The 20,038-nt window shown below is 45.3% G+C and overlaps 1 annotated feature.

Annotated features, from left to right (window-relative positions):
• Nucleotides 9,988-10,490: an enhancer, noted in NCBI's record as "NANOG-H3K27ac hESC enhancer chr8:27132319-27132821 (GRCh37/hg19 assembly coordinates)". NCBI's record gives its function as "activates a minimal SCP1, AML or CMV promoter by ChIP-STARR-seq in primed H9 embryonic stem cells {active_cell/tissue: H9 hESC(primed)}" and the evidence as "EXISTENCE:reporter gene assay evidence [ECO:0000049][PMID:30033119]".

Below are 20,038 nucleotides of genomic sequence, written 5' to 3' on the forward strand. Positions count from 1 at the left end.
ATGGATAAACAAACTGTGGTTCATCCGTACCATGGAATGCTATTTGGTAATAAAAAAGGATGAACTGCTGATACACACAGCAACTTGAGTGGATCTCAAGGGAATCACGCTGAGAAAAAAAAAGCCAGTCTCAAAAGGTCACAAAGTGTATGATTCCATTGATAGAATATTCACAAAAGGACAAGACTATAGAGATGGAGAACAGACTGGTAGTTGCCAGGAGCTAGGAGTGGTGGAAAGAAGGAAGGATCACTCTAAAAGGGGTGGCAAGAAGAAAACCTTTGTGGGATGGAACAGTTGTGTGTCTTGATTGTGGTGGTAGTTACACCAGTCTACACATGGGATAAAATGACATAGAACTATAGACACACATTGCACCCATTTCCTGGTTTGATATAGTACCACAGTTATGTAAAGTGTAACCACGGGAGGAACTGAGTAGAGGGTAGGTGGGACCTCTCTATTATACTATCTTTGCAACTTCCAAATCTGTAATTATTTCAAAATAAACAGTTACTAGAAAAGGGGAGAAAAGAGGAGTTGGGAATTCTTTATTTAACCCAAAACGGAGGATTCCTCCCAAAAAAGAAGAGTCAGGAAAGCAATCACAAGTCAGTTCTTTCTCTCTCCCTCTTTTGTTCTCTCTCCCTCTTTCTCTCTCCCTCCCTTTCCTTCTTTCTCACCCTCTTTCTCCCTCTCCCTTTCTCTTTCCCTCTTTCTTTCTCTCTCTCCCTCTTTCTCTCTTGCTCTTTCTCTTTCTCTCCCTCTTTCTCTCTCCCTCTTTCTTTCTTTCTCTCTCTCCCTCTTTCTCTTTCTCTCCCTCTCTCTCTCTCCCTCTTTCTCTCTCCCTCTTTCTCTTTCTCTCTCTCCCTCTTTCTCTTTCTCTCCCTCTTTCTCTCTCTCCCTCTTTCTCTCTCCCTTTCTCTCTCTCTCTTTCTCTCTCCCTTTCTCTCTCCCTTTTTCTCTCTCCCTCTCTTTCTCTCTCTCCCTCTTTCTCTCTTCCTCTCTTTCTCTCTCCCTCTTTCTCTCTCCCTCTCTTTCTCTCTCTGCCTATCTCTCCCCTCTTTCTCTCTCTCCCTCTTTCTCTCTCCCTTTCTCTCTCTCCCTCTTTCTCTCTCTCCCTCTTTCTCTCTCCCTCTCTTTCTCTCTCTCCCTCTTTCTTTCTCTCTCTCCGTTTCTCTCTCTCCCTCTTTCTCTCTCCCTCTTTCTCTCTTTCCCTCTCTCTCTCTCCCTCTTTCTCTCTCTCCCTCTTTCTCTCTCTCCCTCTTTCTCTCTCTCTCCATTTCTTTCTCTTTCTCCTTCTCTCTCTCTCCCTCTTTATTTCTCTGTGTCTCTCTCCTCTCTCTGCAAAGCTGCGTCATTCATCTTTGCAGACCACCTTCTGTGCTGCTCATGCATGTGGCTGCCTCACAGCCATGAAGGATGCCAGTGCTTTTTGGTGGTGCTAGTGTTCGTTGTAGTTGGGCCACACAGAGAAACCCATTAGCCCTCTCTTAGATTCAGTTTAAAGCTCTCAGGAAAACAAAATCCACTAACCCTGCCTGAGCCTGGAGTCCATGCCTCTTCCCATGGCAGTGGGGTCGCACAGTACAGATGTAACTGCCTCCGGGAATATGGACGCTTCCTCCTTTCTACACAGAGGTGAGGTCCTGATCCCAGGAAATGCCCCTTTCTCCTCCAGATCAGTCCCAGATGGATGGGTCTATAAAGCAAATGACAAAAACCCACCATCTATAGTCCACCTGATAGAGAACACTGGGAGAAAGGCTGGCCAGTAGCCATAAAGCTTTCCCACTTAAACACAAAGAAGGAAGGACCCTCAAGACAGAAGCCCCTGGGCAGGCTACTGGTGTTGAAACCACCTTTCCAAAAATTACACACTGAGAAAATGATGGCAGTGGGAGAGATCTGATCTAGCCAAACCCCATCTTGCCTTTGGCCTTCAAGCTGCCCTTAATTATTTCTGGGTTTAGGACAAGCTAACTTTAGGAGAGATTTAATTTATAGTTTAAATAATAATCAATAAATAATAAATAAAGTTTAATAATAGCCCTTCCCCAAAGCTTTAGCCTTTGTAAAGTTAATGAGAGATTGCCAGGCTAGGAGGAGGAGAGGAGGCTGAATTCGGCTAAGGTGCAGACATAAACAACTGCCAGCCATTATTTTGGAGGTCACACGATATGCAATGTCCCCAGTCACTCCTGCAAGTAACATCACTATTGAAGAACCTAAGATTGGCCATTTGAGATATCTCTTCAGGTTTTTTGCATGTTTGATGACCAGTGGCTCCATCTGGGCCCTCCAACTGCTCCTGTGGCCCCACCCAGAAGCAACTCAGTGTGCAGGAGGAACACTTCCCATGCCCCATGATTGTGCCCCCAACCAATCAGCAGCAACCACCCATTGCCTCGCTACCTCCACCCCTTCCTTCAAACTGTCTTTGATAAACCCTAGCCTCTAAATGCTCAGGAAGATTGATTTGAGTAATAACTCTGTCTCCCCCATGGCATGACAGGCCTCATGTCAATTAAACTCCATGGTCTCCATCAATTGCTTTTGTCTGTGCATTGGGAAGGAAGAACTCATCAGGCGGTTACAGTGTAAAGTGTGGGCTGCCTCCCATGGGACACACGATGAAGCTTGTGGCCCCCTGCATGGTGACTCCAGCTGACACCCAAGAGAGTTCCTTGGTGAGCCAGTAAACCACTTTAGGCTCTGCCCACAGGGATATTGCCCTTGTCCAGGGTCCTCCCGGCCCACCTCGGAAGGAGCCTGAGAAGAAACTGACTGTGGTCATGTGACGTCTTCTGAAGGCAGCTGGCAGTCTTCTGGCTTGGCCCACAGCTTGCCTGAGGGATGAAGATGCCCTGTGTGTGGTTGGTTTGTGTTGATCTAAAGACCCTGTTCTCCAGGCTTGAGGTTTTTTTTGGCAGCACAGCACCTATAAAACCTTAACTGGCAGCCTGTCGATTTAATTTAGGGAGACTGCATTTGTTGAAAGCTGTTTCTAGACAGCTTGTGAAGCTGAGCAGCTGAGCTGGGCCCTGCCTGTGGGGCTGCAGTTTCTTAGAAGGAAGCCCGAGGGCTCTGGTTCTCTGCTTAACGGATTTCGCCTTAGGGTGCGCAGGGCAGTTGAGAAAGTCCACCTTCACCTTGTTAATTTGTAGATCATCCCAAACCTGGTTCCAAAGGGTGCTTCACAGTGGGAGGCACCCCCCATCTTGTCCAGCAAGAGGGTGCAGAAAAATGGACCGGAAGAAGTTTGGAAGATTCAGGGTTTCCCAGCTCCCCTGGCCTTTCCTGAATGTCCTTATTCCAAGTGCCAGAACCTCGCTGTTTCATAATTGGTGCACCAAATTTAGTTCTCGATGTAGGTTGCTGCAGAGTGTAACTGCTGCAGCTCTGTAAGTCCTGTGATTAACTTCGAGAATTGACTCTAAGTGGTCTCAGATCCTATACTATGAGCAGAAAGGACTTCAGGAGCAGGGTTTGCACAACTGACCTAGTTTTCCTGTTTTTCCCATCCACTTTAAGCCCAACAGCCTCAGACTTGACCCCATGCACTTTACTGAAATCCCAGAGAGTCAACAGCATGGCCTGACGTCCTTCAAGATGGCCTTACAATCCCCTAAAGCCTCAGTCTCAGTAGAAAAACTGTCCAAGTTCCAAAAACCAGCAACACTGATTTCACCAGCTGTTTCTGTTTGTATATCACTGACAGGCAGCCAGCTTCCCCAATCCCAGAATGATGGGATCCCATTGTCTCCATGCCCTGAAACGGGTCAGTTATGTGGTTATGTGTGGCTTCATTTCCTAGTACCAGGTTGCATCTTATTTAGAGTTCATTTGGCTGCAAATTAACAGGAATCTACTCCAGATTACCATAAGCAAAAACAGGAAATTCATTCAAGTTTAGAAAGATATCACAAAGAAACCATCACAAAAAGACAGCTGGCTGGAACCAGGAATCAGCAGCAGCAGCACCTGGGAAGTCTGTCTCTCTCTCTCTCTTTCTCTCACCCCCACCTTATTCTGCATCTGCATCTCCCATCTCCAAGACAGACCCCCTCTCTGCTTCCAAGCAGTGGCCAGCCCACGATTCTTGGGGTAACAGAGAGACAGACTAGCCTTCTCTCCATCCTGATTTCAGAATGTCCAGGCAAGAGAATCCGTCTGGCTCACTTCAGGTCAGGTGTGTGTGTCTGGTGCCAAGGATTTTGACCAGAGGGTGGACTGCATTGTGCAAATCTGTATGGGGTAGGGGTCCTCTTCTGCGGGGAGGTTAATGGAGAGCCCAGCAGACACCCCACATGTGTGCTCCATCAGGGTCAGCAAGTAACAAGCAAAAAATAATATTGTGTTCATTACAAAAATGCCTGAACCTAAGTTCATTGCCAGTGGTGGAACATTTTAATTGGGTTAGGCAAGCTGGGGATGGGAAAACGATTTGCCTTGTGAGTATCCTGACCTCTAGCACCACAGCTGCCTCTCCCTACTGCAGAATCCCCAGGGGCTGAACATCCCTAGAGATGTCAGAGCAGGGTGTGAACAAATGAGTCTTTTAACATGGGTTGTCAAAAGGGCCAGAGACTGGGAGGGAAGGAAAGGGGGCCACCTCTTCCCCAGCTGTCCAGTTCTATCTGCTGCATGCTTTTGTGTGCCAAAGGTGCTGGAAACAGGGAGCTGGAATCAGCTCTGGAGTCACCCTGCACATTCCCTCCCTGCTGCACTCAGGAGCACACAGAGATTGATGAGGAAGGGGCTGGACTGGCCCACCTTCCCCAGCCCCCTAGAATTTAGATTTAAGGACAGTAGGGACTTGAAAAATCATAAAGTAGGTTTTAAAAAGGGGTGGAATGGGAAGAAATGCATACAGTCCTCTGCGGCTGCTAAGAAAACGCTGCTGTGACTCCCATGCCTCTTCCTTTGTAGTTTAGGGTCGGCCTCATTCTACTCGATGGGCTCAAAACCAATTTCAGACATACATACACCAAATTCAAGCACAGCAATTTTTTTTTTTTTTTTTTTGAGACAGAGTCTCTTGCTCTGTTGCCCAGGCTGAAGTGCAGTGGCAGGATCACGCTCATTGCAGTCTCGACCTCCTGGGCTCAGGCAAGCCTCCTGCCTCAGTCTCTCAAGTAGCTGGGACTACAAGTGCACACCACCATGCCCAGCTAATTTTTGTATTTTTTTTTTTTAGACAGAGTCTCGCTCTGTCTCCCAGGCTAGAGTGCAGTGGTGCGATCTCGGCTCACTGCAAGCTTGGCCTCCCGGGTTCACGCCATTCTCCTGCCTCAGCCTCCTGAGTAGCTGGTACTACAGGTGCCCGCCACCACGCCCGGCTAATTTTTTGTATTTTTAGTAGAGACGGGGTTTCATCCTGTTAGCCAGGATGATCTTGATCTCCTGACCTCGTGATCCGCCCGCCTCGGCCTCGCAAAGTGCTGGGACTACAGGCGTGAGCCACCGCGCCCGGCCAATTTTTGTATTTTTTGTAGAGACAGGGTCCCACTTAGTTGCCTAGGCTAGTCTTCAACTGCTGGGTTAAAGCAATCCTCCTGCCTTGGCCTCCCAGAATGTTGGGACTATAGGAGTGAGCCACCATGCCTGGCCTGCCTGACTCTTCTTGTTTCACTCAAATAATAGAATATCCTTTTTTCAGTCCCCCAGACAGCTTCAGTTCAATGATTAATATGTCCCATGGAAACTTTCCACTTTGATGTTACCACTCTGGCCCCCCTCCAGCCTAGGTATGTTTGGGGCTGGGTCAGCTCCTTTTTTCTGCCCCTCCTGCCCAATCTGCCAGAATGGGGATACAGGAGAAAGGGAGGAAAGTGAGGGAAAGAAAGGTCGACTAAGGCTGTGATGGTCATGATGATGACCCCTTGGCGTTCTCTGGGCCTTGTAGGTGTTTAGAGCTTACTTTTCCTCTTGTAGTACTTTGGAGAGTTCTTCAAAGAGCCTCCCTCCACCTGCCACCCATTTCTTATTTTTATTTACTTAAAAAAAATTTTTTTAGAGACAGGGTCTCGCACTATCATGCAGGCTAGAGTGCAGTGGTGTGATCACCACTCACTGTAGCCTCGAACTCCTGGGCTCAAGTGATCCTCCCACCTCAACCTCCCAAATTGCTGGGATTACACACAAGCCACATCTGGTCCTCAGGGCATTGTCACATGCCATTTGTGGCAGACTGGCAGACTGTCCCTGATGCAGCAGCCTCCCTTTCCTCTGCCATCAGAGCAGTCAGCCAAGCGTGGACGCTCTCTGTTGAATTCCTCAAGCAATGGTCAGATGGTGGCCCACTGTGACCTCCCAGCTCCAGGGGTCACATAGCAAGTATTCCGGTAGTTCATTCATGTTGGAGGAAGAGAAAGACATGTCCTTCATTCTCCATGGCTGCGGAAGCTTGGGCTTGGGGTGGGAAGGAATTGGAATGGTGAGATTGGGAGGAAGGGTGGGATCACAGCATACCAACAACACCCTCGCCGGGCACGGTGGCTCACGCCTATAATCCCAGCACTTTGGAAGACCGAAGCAGGCAGATCACCTGAGGTCAGGAGTTCAAGACCAGCCTGGCCAACATGATGAAACCCCATCTCTACTACAAATACAAAAATTAGCTGGGCTTGGTGGTGTGTGCCTGTAATCCCAGCTACTCAGGAGGCTGAAGTAGGAGAATTGCTTGAACCCTGTAGGCAGAGGTTGCAGTGAGCCAAGATCGCACCATTGCACTCCAGCCTGGGAGACAGAGTGAGACTCCATCTCAAAAAAAAACAGAAAAGAAAAGAAATCTGCCCTCTAACCTCAGCTCTGCCTTTGATTTTCCAACTTCTTATAGGCTGAAGGAGGAAAGTCCACTGAGGTTTGCAAAACAGGCTGTCAGCTTCCTTGGATACCCTGCTTTGGGTTCCCACTCCTCACTTTAGACTGTAGGAGAGGTGGGCCCTGTTTTCTTAGAATCTTAGCCTGAAACAATAACAACAATAGCTGTTAGACACCGATTCTTGCACAGGCCAGGTCCTCTGGTAAGTTCTTGACAAAGATTTTCCACAATAAACCTATCTGGTGGGAATGACTATTACCAGTTTATAGATAAGGAAGCTGAGCCTCAGGGAGGTTAACTAACTTGGCCAAGGTCACATGGCTATATGGTGGGGGTAAATGATGAACTGGAGTTTTCTGACTGCAAGACTCTATGTTGCGCTGGACCCAGGAGCAAATACTTTACGTCGGTTGATATTATGAAAGTAAAATCCACGGTTTTGTTCAGCCTTCAAGGAGTGTACAGTCTAGATGGGGCAGACATTACCCCCATGCTCCTTCTCTTCTACTCATCCTGCCTTCCTCCTCACAGGAAGCCCCGCCTTCCCCACCCCACCCCACTGCTCCTTTCAGTTCTTGAACTGAATGTTGTCCCTGCACTTGCACAATATATTTTACTCCCATTAGACTATGAGCTTCTCAAGTTCGAGGACCATGTCCTGTTATCCTCTTATCCTCTGCATGTATCTCAGTGCCTGGCAGAGGCTCAAACACAGTGAAATGTGAGAAGTCATGAAAAAAGAAAAAAACACAAACAAACAAATAAATAAACAGGAAAGAGACTGCCCTTGGCTATCCCAACCTGGGCCTGAGGATTTGGCTGCAGAACTTGATGTCCTAGGTGTTGTCTGGGATGGAGAAAGGAAGTGGGTTTCATGCTCCCAGACTGTAAGATGACGGGGCTAATCATATCAAAGGCCCCTTTCAAGGACGACCACCATAGCTCTTCAAAAGTCCAAAGAGAAGAAGGAAGACAGTGCATTGTCTCTGTCTGCTTCAGTTTTTTCCTTGGACTGGGTGGAGCATTTCAACAGAAACCCACGTGCAGTGCAGGTATCGGGGATTCACCCAGCAGGTTCTGAGCCCAGAATGTAGGAAACATCCCAGGAAGAAGGAAACAAAGAAGAGTACTCTTGGGGACAAAAGCTGTAGATGGAGTTACTCTGCAGTAATATAGAATCAAACTTACTATTTCCTGGGTAATGCATTTCAAGTTTTGAACACTTATCCCCCAGATGAACTGTTAGAACCCAGACCACTGTAATTTAAGATCCACCTTCATGGACTCTGAGGGAGGTTATACAGGATTCTGTAGAGGAGGACCCTACAGTGCTGAGGACCTATTTCATGTTGGGTCTCTGTTTCTTAGGGAGATTATGAAAATTGACCAGAATCAGAAAAAGGCATTGTCAAATTTCTTCCCCATCATGGTCCACTGACTTTGTTGTTGTGGGTTTATAACTTTACTAACATTGTTATGGTGTCTCAGAAAGAGGAGGGAAACCTGGGTGCAGTCTACCATCTTGGACAGAAGGGCCTAACATTTATTTTCATCTTTAACACAGGAGTTTTCTTTCTAGGAATTTATCGTAATTGAACAGGACTCCTAAAATACAATGTATATACAAGTGTGTAAGTGTGTCCATTGCAGTATTGCTTATAATAGTGACCTGGGGATTTTTTTTTTTTTTTTTTTTTGAGATGGGATGTTGCTTTGTCACCCAGGCTGGAGTGCAGTAGCACAATCTCAGCTCACTGCCACCTCCACCTCCCAGGTTCAAGCGATTCTCCTGCCTCAGCTTCCCAAGGAGCTGGGATTACAGGCACATGTCATCATGCCCAGCTAATTTTTGTATTTTTAGTAGAGATGGGGTTTCACCATGTTGGCCAGGCTGGTCTCGAACTCCTGCCCTCAAGTGATCCACCTGCCTCAGCCTCCCAAAGTGCTGGGATTACAGGTGTGAGCCACTGTACCCAGACTTGTCCTGGAAATTTTAGAAGTCAATTATGATATACTTCAGCACAAATCATTGGAACCAGTAAAACTGATGCCATAGATTTCCATAAAGGAAAATTGTACACTTATGGAATGTCTATTTAGTTGAAAAGGTTTACATCTGCTAAATCCTATACATTTGAAGATATTTAATAGCAAAGAAAACAGTAAGTGAATAAAAAGGGCTACAAAAATGTAGTGTGATCTAATTTCTGTACAAATCTCACACTTTTGAGTTTAAACATATAAAAAGAAACTGCATAAAAATGTTTACTAGTATTAACTCTGGATGGTGGAATTCTGGGTGATTCCTTATACATATTTCTGAATCAACATACATTATGTATAAATATATGGTCTATATTATATATGGTATATTATGATGTATATATGGTATATGGTATATTTTTTATATATGGTTTATATAGTATGTATATTTAACAATACTCATATAGTTAAATATATTTATAGAAATTATATGTAAATTTATATATGGCATACGTAAATATATTTATATAAATTTATATATGTATATATGTAAATATATTTATGTACACCATGTACAAATACATTTATATAGATTTAAGGTATATATATGTATATATGTGCACATATACACACGTGTGTGTGTGTATATATATATATACCTATATCTATAAAACCTGCCCGTCTGCTCTTACTCAGTTTATTTCCATTTCCACCTTCTTACTCCTCTGTCCGGCAAAGCATAGCGAAAGAGTTGAGGAGGGTTGTTTTTGTTGCCCCTATGGCTTAGGAAGAGTTAATTAACTCCTAATTAACGCATTAGACTAGGAGGAGCAACTGAGTTCAGATTGGATGACAGTGACATCATGCCAGTCGCGGGAGCCAATAGCAGCGCCCCTGCCGCTGAAGTTTCTTAAGCCCCGGATGCCTTAATGAGCCTCCTGCACCCGCTGGGTAGTAGTAGTTGCCGTTCTGTACGCAGCCGGCTGAGCTCCTCGGGCGCCCGTCCTGCATACCCGGACCTTCTGGGCTGTGCCTAGCGAGGGCCCCTTCCCACTCTAGTTCCTCCCCCAGCCCCTCTCTTCTGGGGCGTCACCAGTTTCTCTCCGGGGAACTTCGCCACTTGTTTCTCAGGAGGTGACTGCGTCCTGCTAATGAGTCAAGGCAGCGACTTTCCTTTGTCCCCATATTTTTCTCTTCCTCTCTCTTGGGACTCTGCTCAGGGGTTACGCCCGCTCTCGCTTGTGGTGAGGCTTCCTCATAGCCTCGCAACTCTTAAAAGAAAACCCTGTGTCCAGGGCACCAAGAAGCACCTACTAAACCAAACCTAACAGACTGGCGTTTTCATACCGCGACCCTTTCTCACTATAAATGTCACGCTTCTCATTCTAGAAAACAGAGGAGTCGGAGTCTGGGGGTAGGGGTCAACAACCGTGCAAACAGCATCCAAAGATATCCATGGCTTACAATATCTAAAATATGATAGATTTACAAATTTGGCATCGCACTGACTATAGTTTTAGGTTTGGCTTTAGTCAAGTGAGCATTTCCTCCTCTCTTTAAATATTCTCTATTTTTTTAATTTTTTTAAATTTTATGTTGTTTTTAAATTATTATTATACTTTTAAGTTTTAGGGTACATGTGCACAATGTGCCGGTTGGTTACATATGTATACGTGTGCCATGCTGGTGTGCTGCACCCATTAACTCGTCATTTAGCATTAGGTATATCTCCTAATGCCATCCCTCCCCCATCCCCCCACCCCACAACAGTCCCCAGAGTGTGATGTTCCCCTTCCTGTGTCCATGTGTTCTCATTGTTCAACTCCCATCTATGAGTGAGAACATGCGGTGTTTGGTTTTTTGTCCTTGTGATAGTTTACTGAGAATGATGATTTCCAATTTCATCCATGTCTCTACAAAGGACATGAACTCATCATTTTTTATGGCTGCATAGTATTCCATGGTGTATATGTGCCACATTTTCTTAATCCAGTCTATCATTGTTGGACATTTGGGTTGGTTCCAAGTCTTTGCTATTGTGAATAGTGCTGCAATAAACATATGTGTGCATGTGTCTGTTTTTTAAGCGGCTTCGTAGCATTCCAGCATATGGAATAATGTACTGAACTCTTCCCCTATTGTTGTATATTTAGATTATGTTCAACTATTTTCTATTTTAAATAATTCCATGATGAACGATGGATCTTTTGTACATATTTTCTTGTCCTAATATCTGAATATTTCCTTAAGATAAATCTTAGTGAAATTATCATTTTGTTTTCCTAAAAATACCTTGCTTAACATTTTTCTTGTTATTCCAAATTAAATAAAAATCACTTTGTCTAATTTCAAAACCAGACCTCTAGGTATTTTGAGTTATAACTGTCTGCTTATTCTAATTAGTTTTTTAGATTTCAGTAAAGTTTCATAGTTCTGTTTTAAATTTTAACTCAAGGTAGTTTTATATTTCAGTTGCTATTATGAATGGAGTCTTATTTCCAGTATATTTTCTTCCTGGATATTACTGATATCAAGAGTGTTCCTATTTATAAATTAATGTCATTTGAATTCACTTCACCAAGTCTTTTATTATTTATCAGTTGATTCTTTTGAGTTTTTAGGTAATCATTATACCACCAAACTTTCAGTGTATGTCAAAGAACTTGCCTTATGTATTTGATGGCTTTTTTTTTTTCCAGGAAAAAAAATCTCTTTATATCTCATTTTACCCTTTTCCTTTGAACTCCTGCCTGAAATTATCACCATCCTGTTTTCTGTTTGGATCTGTTTTGTTAGAAACCAGACTCCTTGGTACTGTGATTCCGTTGGTCATTATTTTGAGATATTTTTTATCAGAAGCTGATTATCGGGTTTTTAAAATTTGAGAATCTTAGTTTTTAATAAGAATATTTAGATAATGTGTATCTGCTGGATAGCAATGACGACATTTTCTTTGGTGACTATTTCATTTGTTGTCATTCTTTCTGCATAGACTTTTTTCCTTCTCTATTTTTTCATGTTTTGGAAGAAAAGTATGTACGCTGTTTTAAAAGTCTCCAGTGTTTTAGTGATCCCTGAAAGCAAGCTTTCAACATATACTTGTTTCAATATCAGAAATACATAATAAAACAGTATTTTAAAAAGAATTCTGTTGCTTCCCACCTCTTTTCCTCCATATGGGGATTTAAGAAACTTTACTTCCCTTGCCTCCAAATTTTCTGGGTTTGGTTACTATAATCTGGAGTTATATAACATGATCACTGTTATTAAATTCTATTTAACATTATATATCATCTCTTCCAAGAAAAACTTTTGACATTTGCAATATAACACTTATTCAATCAAATTATTCCAAGTGGGGTTCATTTATGGCATATTTTCTGAATCCTTGCATTTTGAAAATGTCATTTATTTTACCTTTGCACAACTTGTCTGGATATAAAATTCCAGATGATTCACAATCTTTGCTCAAAATCCTGTACATATTTTCCCATTATTTGTCTTTTGGCAAAGCAGACTGATTTTTATTCCTTGGTAATTGCTAGGTTTTTATTGTGTTGTTTTGCTTTGTAGCCCTGGATGTTATTACAATTTATTTTGTATCCTATAATTCAAAGTATTTGCCATGAATTTGTTTGGAATGTGACAAGCACTTCCAATCTTCAATTCTATCAGTCATTTCAGTTTTAATTTGTTATTTTTTTCTTATAATTTTTGTTAGACTTTAATCCTCCCCCTCCCCTCTCTCTCCTCCCCTTCCCTCCCCTCCTCTTTCTTTTTCCCCTCTCCCTGTCTTCTGGGAATGTTTCTCAAATTTGTCTTCCATGTTGCTTACTCCATTTTTCTCAATCTTGGTTACAGCTCTGTTCTTGACTCTCTCTTCTATGAGTTTCAAGTCCACTGTGTTCTTCTCAGTTTCCTTGCAGTTTTGCTCTATCTCACTCACTCCCTTCTCATACTCAGCCTCCTGTCCTCTTCCTCCCTCTGTTCCTGCTTAAAGAGACGACTCCTTATTAAGGATGCCAAAGCTTCCTTCCAGGTACTGCAGATGGCCTTTTAAAGAGATTATTTTCTTCCACAGAATCTTCAGGATAATTCCTCCCCTTTGCTCTGTGGTATTTTGTCATGCCCCCATGTTGTTTTTATTTTATTTATGTTAAGAGACAGAGTCTCACTGTCGCCCAGGCTGGAGTCCAGTGGTGTAATCACAGTTCACTGCAGCCTCGAACTCCTGGGCTCAAGAGATCCTCCCACCTCAGCCTCTCATGTAGCTGGGACTACAGACACACACCACCATGCCCAGCTAATTTTTTTTTTTTTTTTTTTGGAGACAGAGTGCAGTGGCGCGATCTTGGCTCACTGCAAGCTCCGCCTCCAGGGTTCACACCATTCTCCTGCCTCAGCCTCCCGAGTACCTGGGACTACAGGTGCCCGCCACCATGCCCAGCTAATTTTTTTGTATTTTTAGTAGGGACGGGGTTTCACCGTGTTAGCCAGGACGGTCTCGATCTCTTGACCTTGTGATCCGCCCACCTCGGCCTCCCAAAGTGCTGGGATTACAGGCATGAGCCACTGCACCCGGCCCATGCCCAGCTAATTTTTAAAAAATTTTTTGGAGAGACGGGGTCTCACTTGTTGCCCAGGTTGGTCTGGAATGCCTGGGCTCAAGTGATCCTCCCTCCTTGGCCCTCCCAAGGTGTTGGCATTACAGTTGTGAGCCACTGCGCCCAGCCTGTTGTTTTTAATGAATAGACTCAACACCAAAGGAGGTGAAATCTAAATCCTAGATTCCCTCAGCTCCACATAAAACTCACACAAGAGATGAGACGGGTACAATGAATAGCAGTTGGGGTAACCCAGCTGCCAGCACTCTCCCAGCCTCTCTCAGCATCAAAGCGGGTGGCTCTGCTGTCTGGAGGCAAAATCTTCTATGCCTATAGCACTCCTGAAACTATGAAAATGAGGACTGACAAAAGCACAGAACAATAAACTAAAAAACCCACATGCACACCAGAAAAGGTGCTTCCTATCCCTGCCGCACTGTCCTGTAGGAATTCCACCTCCCAGGATGCACCATGTTGCCACCAGTTCCCCCTTCTCTCTGCCCAGTTGCTTCCTGGAGCTTGCAGTCGCTAGGATGGTGCTGCAGGATGAAGGACAGAAGAAAACAGGATTCCTGGTCACTTCAAAAAGCAGCTGGAGAACAGTAAAGAGTTAGGACATGTCAGAAAACTCCCTTAATTAAAATAATGCCCTGATGCTCAGGAGAATGGCTAGATCCCACAGCTCAATTTTTGTTTCTGTGAACCCCGAAAATCTGAGACAGGTCTCAGTTAATTTAAAAGCTTATTTTGCCAAGGTTGAGGATGTGCGCCTGTGACACAGCCTCAAGAGGTCCTGACGATATGTGCCCAAGGTGGTCAGGGCACAGCTTGGTTTTATCCATTTTAGGGAGATATAAGACATCAATCAATGTATGTAAGGTGTACATTGGTTCTGTCCCAAAAGGCGGGACAACTCAAGCAGGGAGGGGGCTTCCAGGTCACGGGTAGATGAGAGACAAACAGCTGCATTCTTTTGAGTTTCTGACTAGCCTCTCCAAAGAAGGCAATCAGATACGCATTTATCTAAGTGAGCAGAGGGATGACTTTGAATGGAGTGTGAGGCAGGTTGGCCATAAGCAGTTCCCAGCTAGACTTTTCCCTTTAGCTTGGTGGTTTGGGGGCCCCAAGATTTATTTCCCTTTCACATTTCCCAAATTCACTTTCTCCCTGGGGGTTGATTCAATTGTTTAGGCATTCACTCAACAAATGTCAAGCTCAGTAAGTGCCCCTGTCACATGCTGCAGATGTTCCTGGAGCCCCAGAGTGGGAGTCCTCCCTTAATTCCTACAGCTGAGACCCAGCTCTCAGAGAGCAAAAGGGCATGCTGCAAGGAGTAACCCAGGAGCACGACTCTGCAGCACCCAGATCACCTCTTTGGACCCCAAAGGTCCAACATCGGAACCTCAGTGGCATCTGATCCTCAGGGTGTAGACAGGGGAGAGGGAGGAAGGGACAAAGAAGCTTTCCATGTGTCTGGGTGGCTGCTGAAACTCAGGCTCCATGGGCTTTATAGGGGAAATCCTCCCCAATTTCTGCCAGTAGGCTGGTCATCCATCACTTTTTGTTGGTCATCGGTGTTTTCGTCTTTGCTTCTGTCTTCCCTGGTACTGGGCAAAGCCATGCTGGGGGCTGCAGGCTGTATGCCATCTTAAACGAGTCAATATGTTACTTTCCATCCCCCTTACATCTGAATTCGGGGTCTTTTGACACCACTGTTCAACGTATTTGTATTTGCATCTGTTACGCCGCCTTCCTTTGGTTGCAATTCTGCCTCTATTCACTCCTCGTAAGTCTTTAACCTGAATCTTCAGCCCCCCTCTAAAATGTGCCCGTGCCACACGACTCCGTATCTCCCGTGCAGATCCTGGACTCCAGAGCTCTCTAATGGCCTTGAGCTCTCTAATGGCCTTCCCTGTGCTTCCACCCAATGTCCTCAAACACGGCACTGACCTCACCACGCCGCAGTGACCAGCACCAGTCATTCAGGCCAAAAACCTGGCAGCCCCCTTTCTTCACCTGGTCCAGTCTGTACACAGTCTGCCTGGTAATCCCACCTCCTCCAGGATTTCTAATCGCCCACTTCTCCCCACACCCCCTGCCTTACCCCCACACCCCCATCTTAGTTCAGCCCCTCATCAACTGAACTGCCTGGATTATACCACATTTACTGCTGCAAACCCAGATGTTTTGAGATCTAGGGACAGTAACACCAGGAGACTAGGGTCTGAGGTTCAGCTCTGTCACTGATTAGTCCTGTGACCTTGAACAAGCCCCCTGACCTCTTTTTTAAGCCTATCTCACACAGTGCTCAGGTAGTAGGGATTAAAACAGAGCCTACATGAGGTGCTTTATTAAGTAAACAAGGGAGGTTTTGCACGCCTATAGCCAACTTAAGAGGGGATAGAGAGTAAAAAGCACCAATATTTGTTGAGCCCCAAGTATGTACCATACCCTGGTTGGGGCACTTCTCACACACCACCTCCCTCCATCCTCAGGGCTCCACACTGCTGCCTATCCAGAGAGCAGGGGAAGATACGGATTCGTGTCCCTAGTAGGGGGCTGTATGCAACCCGGCTGCCCAGACCCTCCAACTCGTTTCCATGTGCATTTATGTTCCTCCTGGGTCCACATTGTTCCCAGACTGTCTGTTCTCTGAACTGTTATGCAAATCCCAGCTAGTCCAGTATCCATAGAAACCAGAATCTCCCATCTTCCTCAGCTTATTCCCTGGCAGGAGAATCCCACCCAGGTGACACCCACAAACAAGGACAAACAGCACCCTAGAGAAGGGGAGCTTCCCCCTGCCCTGGGCCATCAGACTTCAGTACTTATTGTTCAGCAGGTCCTGAAGGCATTTGTCAGGTTCTCCAGGCATGGCTGGGAGGAGGAGTGAGTGGCACAGGCCAGTGTAAGCAGCTGCATTTTCGTTTTGAAATCTGGAAGGGAGATGCTGTAATCCCAGCATCTCACATCGCTAACAATCATTTTTGTCCAACCCAAACAGCTCCACTGCTACTGGAAGTTAAGATCACCTTCACAGTGGACATGAGTCAGTATTTGTCATCATCTTTAATCTCATACATACGAGTACATATGTCATCTCTGGAACATAATGACATGATTTCATTGTGCATAGTCAATTACTAATTTTATGAACATTTTTTAAAGATCTCACTCCTCTCCAGAATAACCTGTCTTATGCCTAAAACATTATGACTCATTAGTCTTTTTTTTTTTTTTTTTGCTAGAGTCAAAACGTGAGACAAAAGTTTCTGCTCCCAATCCCAAGTTCTGGAATATTGGCCGGCAGCAGCACCCTGAGTCAGCAATCCCTACTGTGCACAAGACATAGGCTTTTGCTAGTGACATAAATTATGAATCACAGGATGCTAGAATTGGAATGACCTGGAAAACACATGCAAATGCCCAAGTTTCCCTGTTTACAGAAAAATACTTCAATGGCTATATCCTGCAGCTATTTAATTAGCAGAGCCAGGGTAAGACAACAGTAAACTCTCAACTGTGCCAGATCCTCTTCTAAGTGTTTCACACATTTGCTCATTTAACCTCATATCCACCCTGTGAGGTAGGAACTCTTACTATCTTCATTTTCCTCACGATGAAACTAAGGCACAGAGAGGTTAAGTAACTCCCCCAAGGTCAGACAGTGGTTCAGTCAGGGTTTAGGTCCAGGTTGTCCAATCTGGTATCCCAGCCTCTTAACCACTAGAAACCTTTGTAAGGGTTCTAATGAATTGAGATTTTAAAAATGCACATTGAGGCCGGGCACAGTGGCTCATGCCTGTAATCCCAGCACTTTGGGAAGCCAAGGCAGGCGGATCACCTGAGGTCAGGGATTTGAGATCAGCCTGGCGAAACCCCATCTCTACTAAAAATACAAAAAGTAGCCAAGTGTGGTGGCACATGCATCCCAGCTACTCAGGAGGCTGAGACAGGAGAATTGCTCGAACCTGGGAGGCGGGGGTTGCAGTGAGCTGAGATCACACCATTGCACTTCAGCCTGGGCGACATGTATATTGAGGTCTCAGCTTTAAGGTTTCTGCTTGGCTTTTTCTCTTTGTTTTAAAACCTTAAGGTGAAATATTTAAACACGAACAAAAAGTAAAATCTATCCACTGAATGGACTGAATGAAAACATCGTACAAACCTCCCCCTTGAGAGAAAAGGATTTTAGTAACATCTTTGGGGTTTTTGCCTCTTGGTTGGGTTGCTTAGGGATGAGAGCTAGAGTTGTCTGCTCTAAATTATAATGTATTGGGGTGAACAGAATATACCCATCAACAGGATATGTGCTATGCATAAAATATCTCTGGGAAGTTTGAAAAAAACTAGTAATATATATTGCCTACCAGGGGGGTTGCTGAGTGTTTGGGCAGAAAAAGGAGACAGACTGTTCTAGTACATTTTGTACCTTTGGAATTCACAGCCATGTAAACAGATTATCTAATCAAACAACACAAATTAAAGACAGGCTCCTGCTTGTCTTGTTGTGAGTACGCTGCATGCCTGTACTTACTGCTTTGAATCCTATTTTTTTGGTTCTTACAACATAACCATTTTCTCATGCTACTGAAAGTTTTTCATGAACATGAGTTTTATGCAAACGTTCTTGTTAAAAATCTGAAGAAATCGGAAGACTCCCAAAACAGGTAACTTCTATTTCTCAATCTCTCACTTTTCTTTGGGATTTGTCATTATTGGGAATCACAATTTATATATTCAGAATCTCCCATTTCTGAAGAATTCACCAATGTGTATTAATCCTATCCTAGGTTTAGAACACAATACTTGGCATTTTTACCGTCATTTTCCTCATCGAATCCCCACAAGTGCCTGAGGTAGATATTGTCATCTTCGTTCTGTGTAAGGGAGCAGAGGGTCAGAAGATTCAGGCAGCCCAGAAATCACAGGGCTTGCATCTGGATCCAGAATCTGGACTGTGGGCTTCATGCCACTTTCTCCTTACCAAAATGCCACCAGTTGGTCTGTGGCACTTTCAAAGGCAGCTTTCCTGCCCCACAGTGCACGTCTCTAACCATACATGCACTCAACAATCATTTATTTATTTTTTTATTATGATTTTTTATTGAGACGGAGTTTCACTCTTGTTGCCCAGGTTGGAGTGCAATGGCACAATCTTGGCTCACCGCAACCTCCACCTCCTGGGTTCAAGTGATTCTCCTTCCTCAGCCTCCCAAGTAGCTGGGATTACAGGCATGCGCCACCACGCATGGCTAACTTTGTATTTAGTAGAGACGGAGTTTCACCATGTTGGTCAGGCTGGCCTCAAACTCCCAACCTCAGGTGATCCACCCACCTCGGCCTCCCAAAGTGCTGGGATTACAGGCGTGAGCCACCGCACCCGGCCTCAACAATCATTTATTATGGTCCAGCAACATCCACAGATTTGGGGCCTGAAAGAGGAAGATGACATGCTTCCTGCACTCCCAGGTCTGCAAGCAGAAAAGACAGCGAGGTGCTCTTCCACAAAACAGGCGGCATGCAGTGGCAGCCCAGGGAGCCCCGGGCAGGTCTGGGAAGGCACCTCCGAGCTGACAAGGGGGACTGAGCGACAATAAAGGGAGGGCGACAGGCGCTGCAGGCAGGAGGAACAATGGGACCCTGCACCCAGGAAGGCTGGGCAGGGTCTTTGTAAACAGTGGTGACCGTGGTTGCAGGAGTCAGCCGGGGAGGGGTCTCGAATGTCACTCTGGAGGTGGGAAAACTCCCGCCACTGCCCCATCACTCACCACAAGGGTCACGAAAGACTTCCACTATTGTGATATTGAGCAATCAAATACTGTTGAGAGAAATTTCATCCCCCACAAGCAAGAGGAAGCAAAAAAGGAAATGGCCCCTGTGCACCTAATTCTGACCAACTGATACCTGGTGGCTGACGTGGACATGACTGGGAGCCTGGAGGTTACTGAGGCTCTCGTGTGCTCTGAGACTCCAGTTTCTGAGGTGCTCACACTGCTCAGACATTCAGGAGGTGGGGAGGGGCCCCACTTCTACAGATGAGAAAATAAGATCAGGCAGGCAGTGTGTGCCCCAGGAGATATCACGTAAGCGGCAGAGCCAATATGATCAGGAGAGCCAGAGCAACCAAGGTCAGGACATTCCAGTGACAACGGGCCCCTGGTGAGGGCAGGTGGCCTATTTCAAGGGTAAACAGGAGCCTGGTCCGGCTGGAGCCATGTGTGACGGGACTGAGAAGACTCCGGGTATAAAGGCAGAGTGCAGTGACAATGTGCCCTGAGAGCTGCCCTGGAGAAATGCACTGCAGCGGGTTGGAAATGGGGTCTCTCCAGGTGATGGGAACATGAACGATGGTGCATGTGGAATGGATGCAAAAGTGGGAGAAACTGGAGAACGGGGGCCTTCCCAGAGAGCTGCTGCTTTGAGCCTGGACACAGTAATGAGAAGGAGAGTGACGGGGTGAGTGGAAGGCAAGGGCAGGAGAGGGGCTTCAGGGAAGAATTAATGAACTCGTGGACTAGCGCTTCCTGCCAACAGAATAACTGCCCCATCCCTGAGCCAAAACCCCGAACTTACATGGACCTAAGGGCAGTATCAAAAGTGAGATTTCTAGGATACATGTACA

This window comes from Homo sapiens, chromosome 8 (genome assembly GCF_000001405.40).
Source record: "Homo sapiens chromosome 8, GRCh38.p14 Primary Assembly".
NCBI lineage: Eukaryota > Metazoa > Chordata > Mammalia > Primates > Hominidae > Homo > Homo sapiens.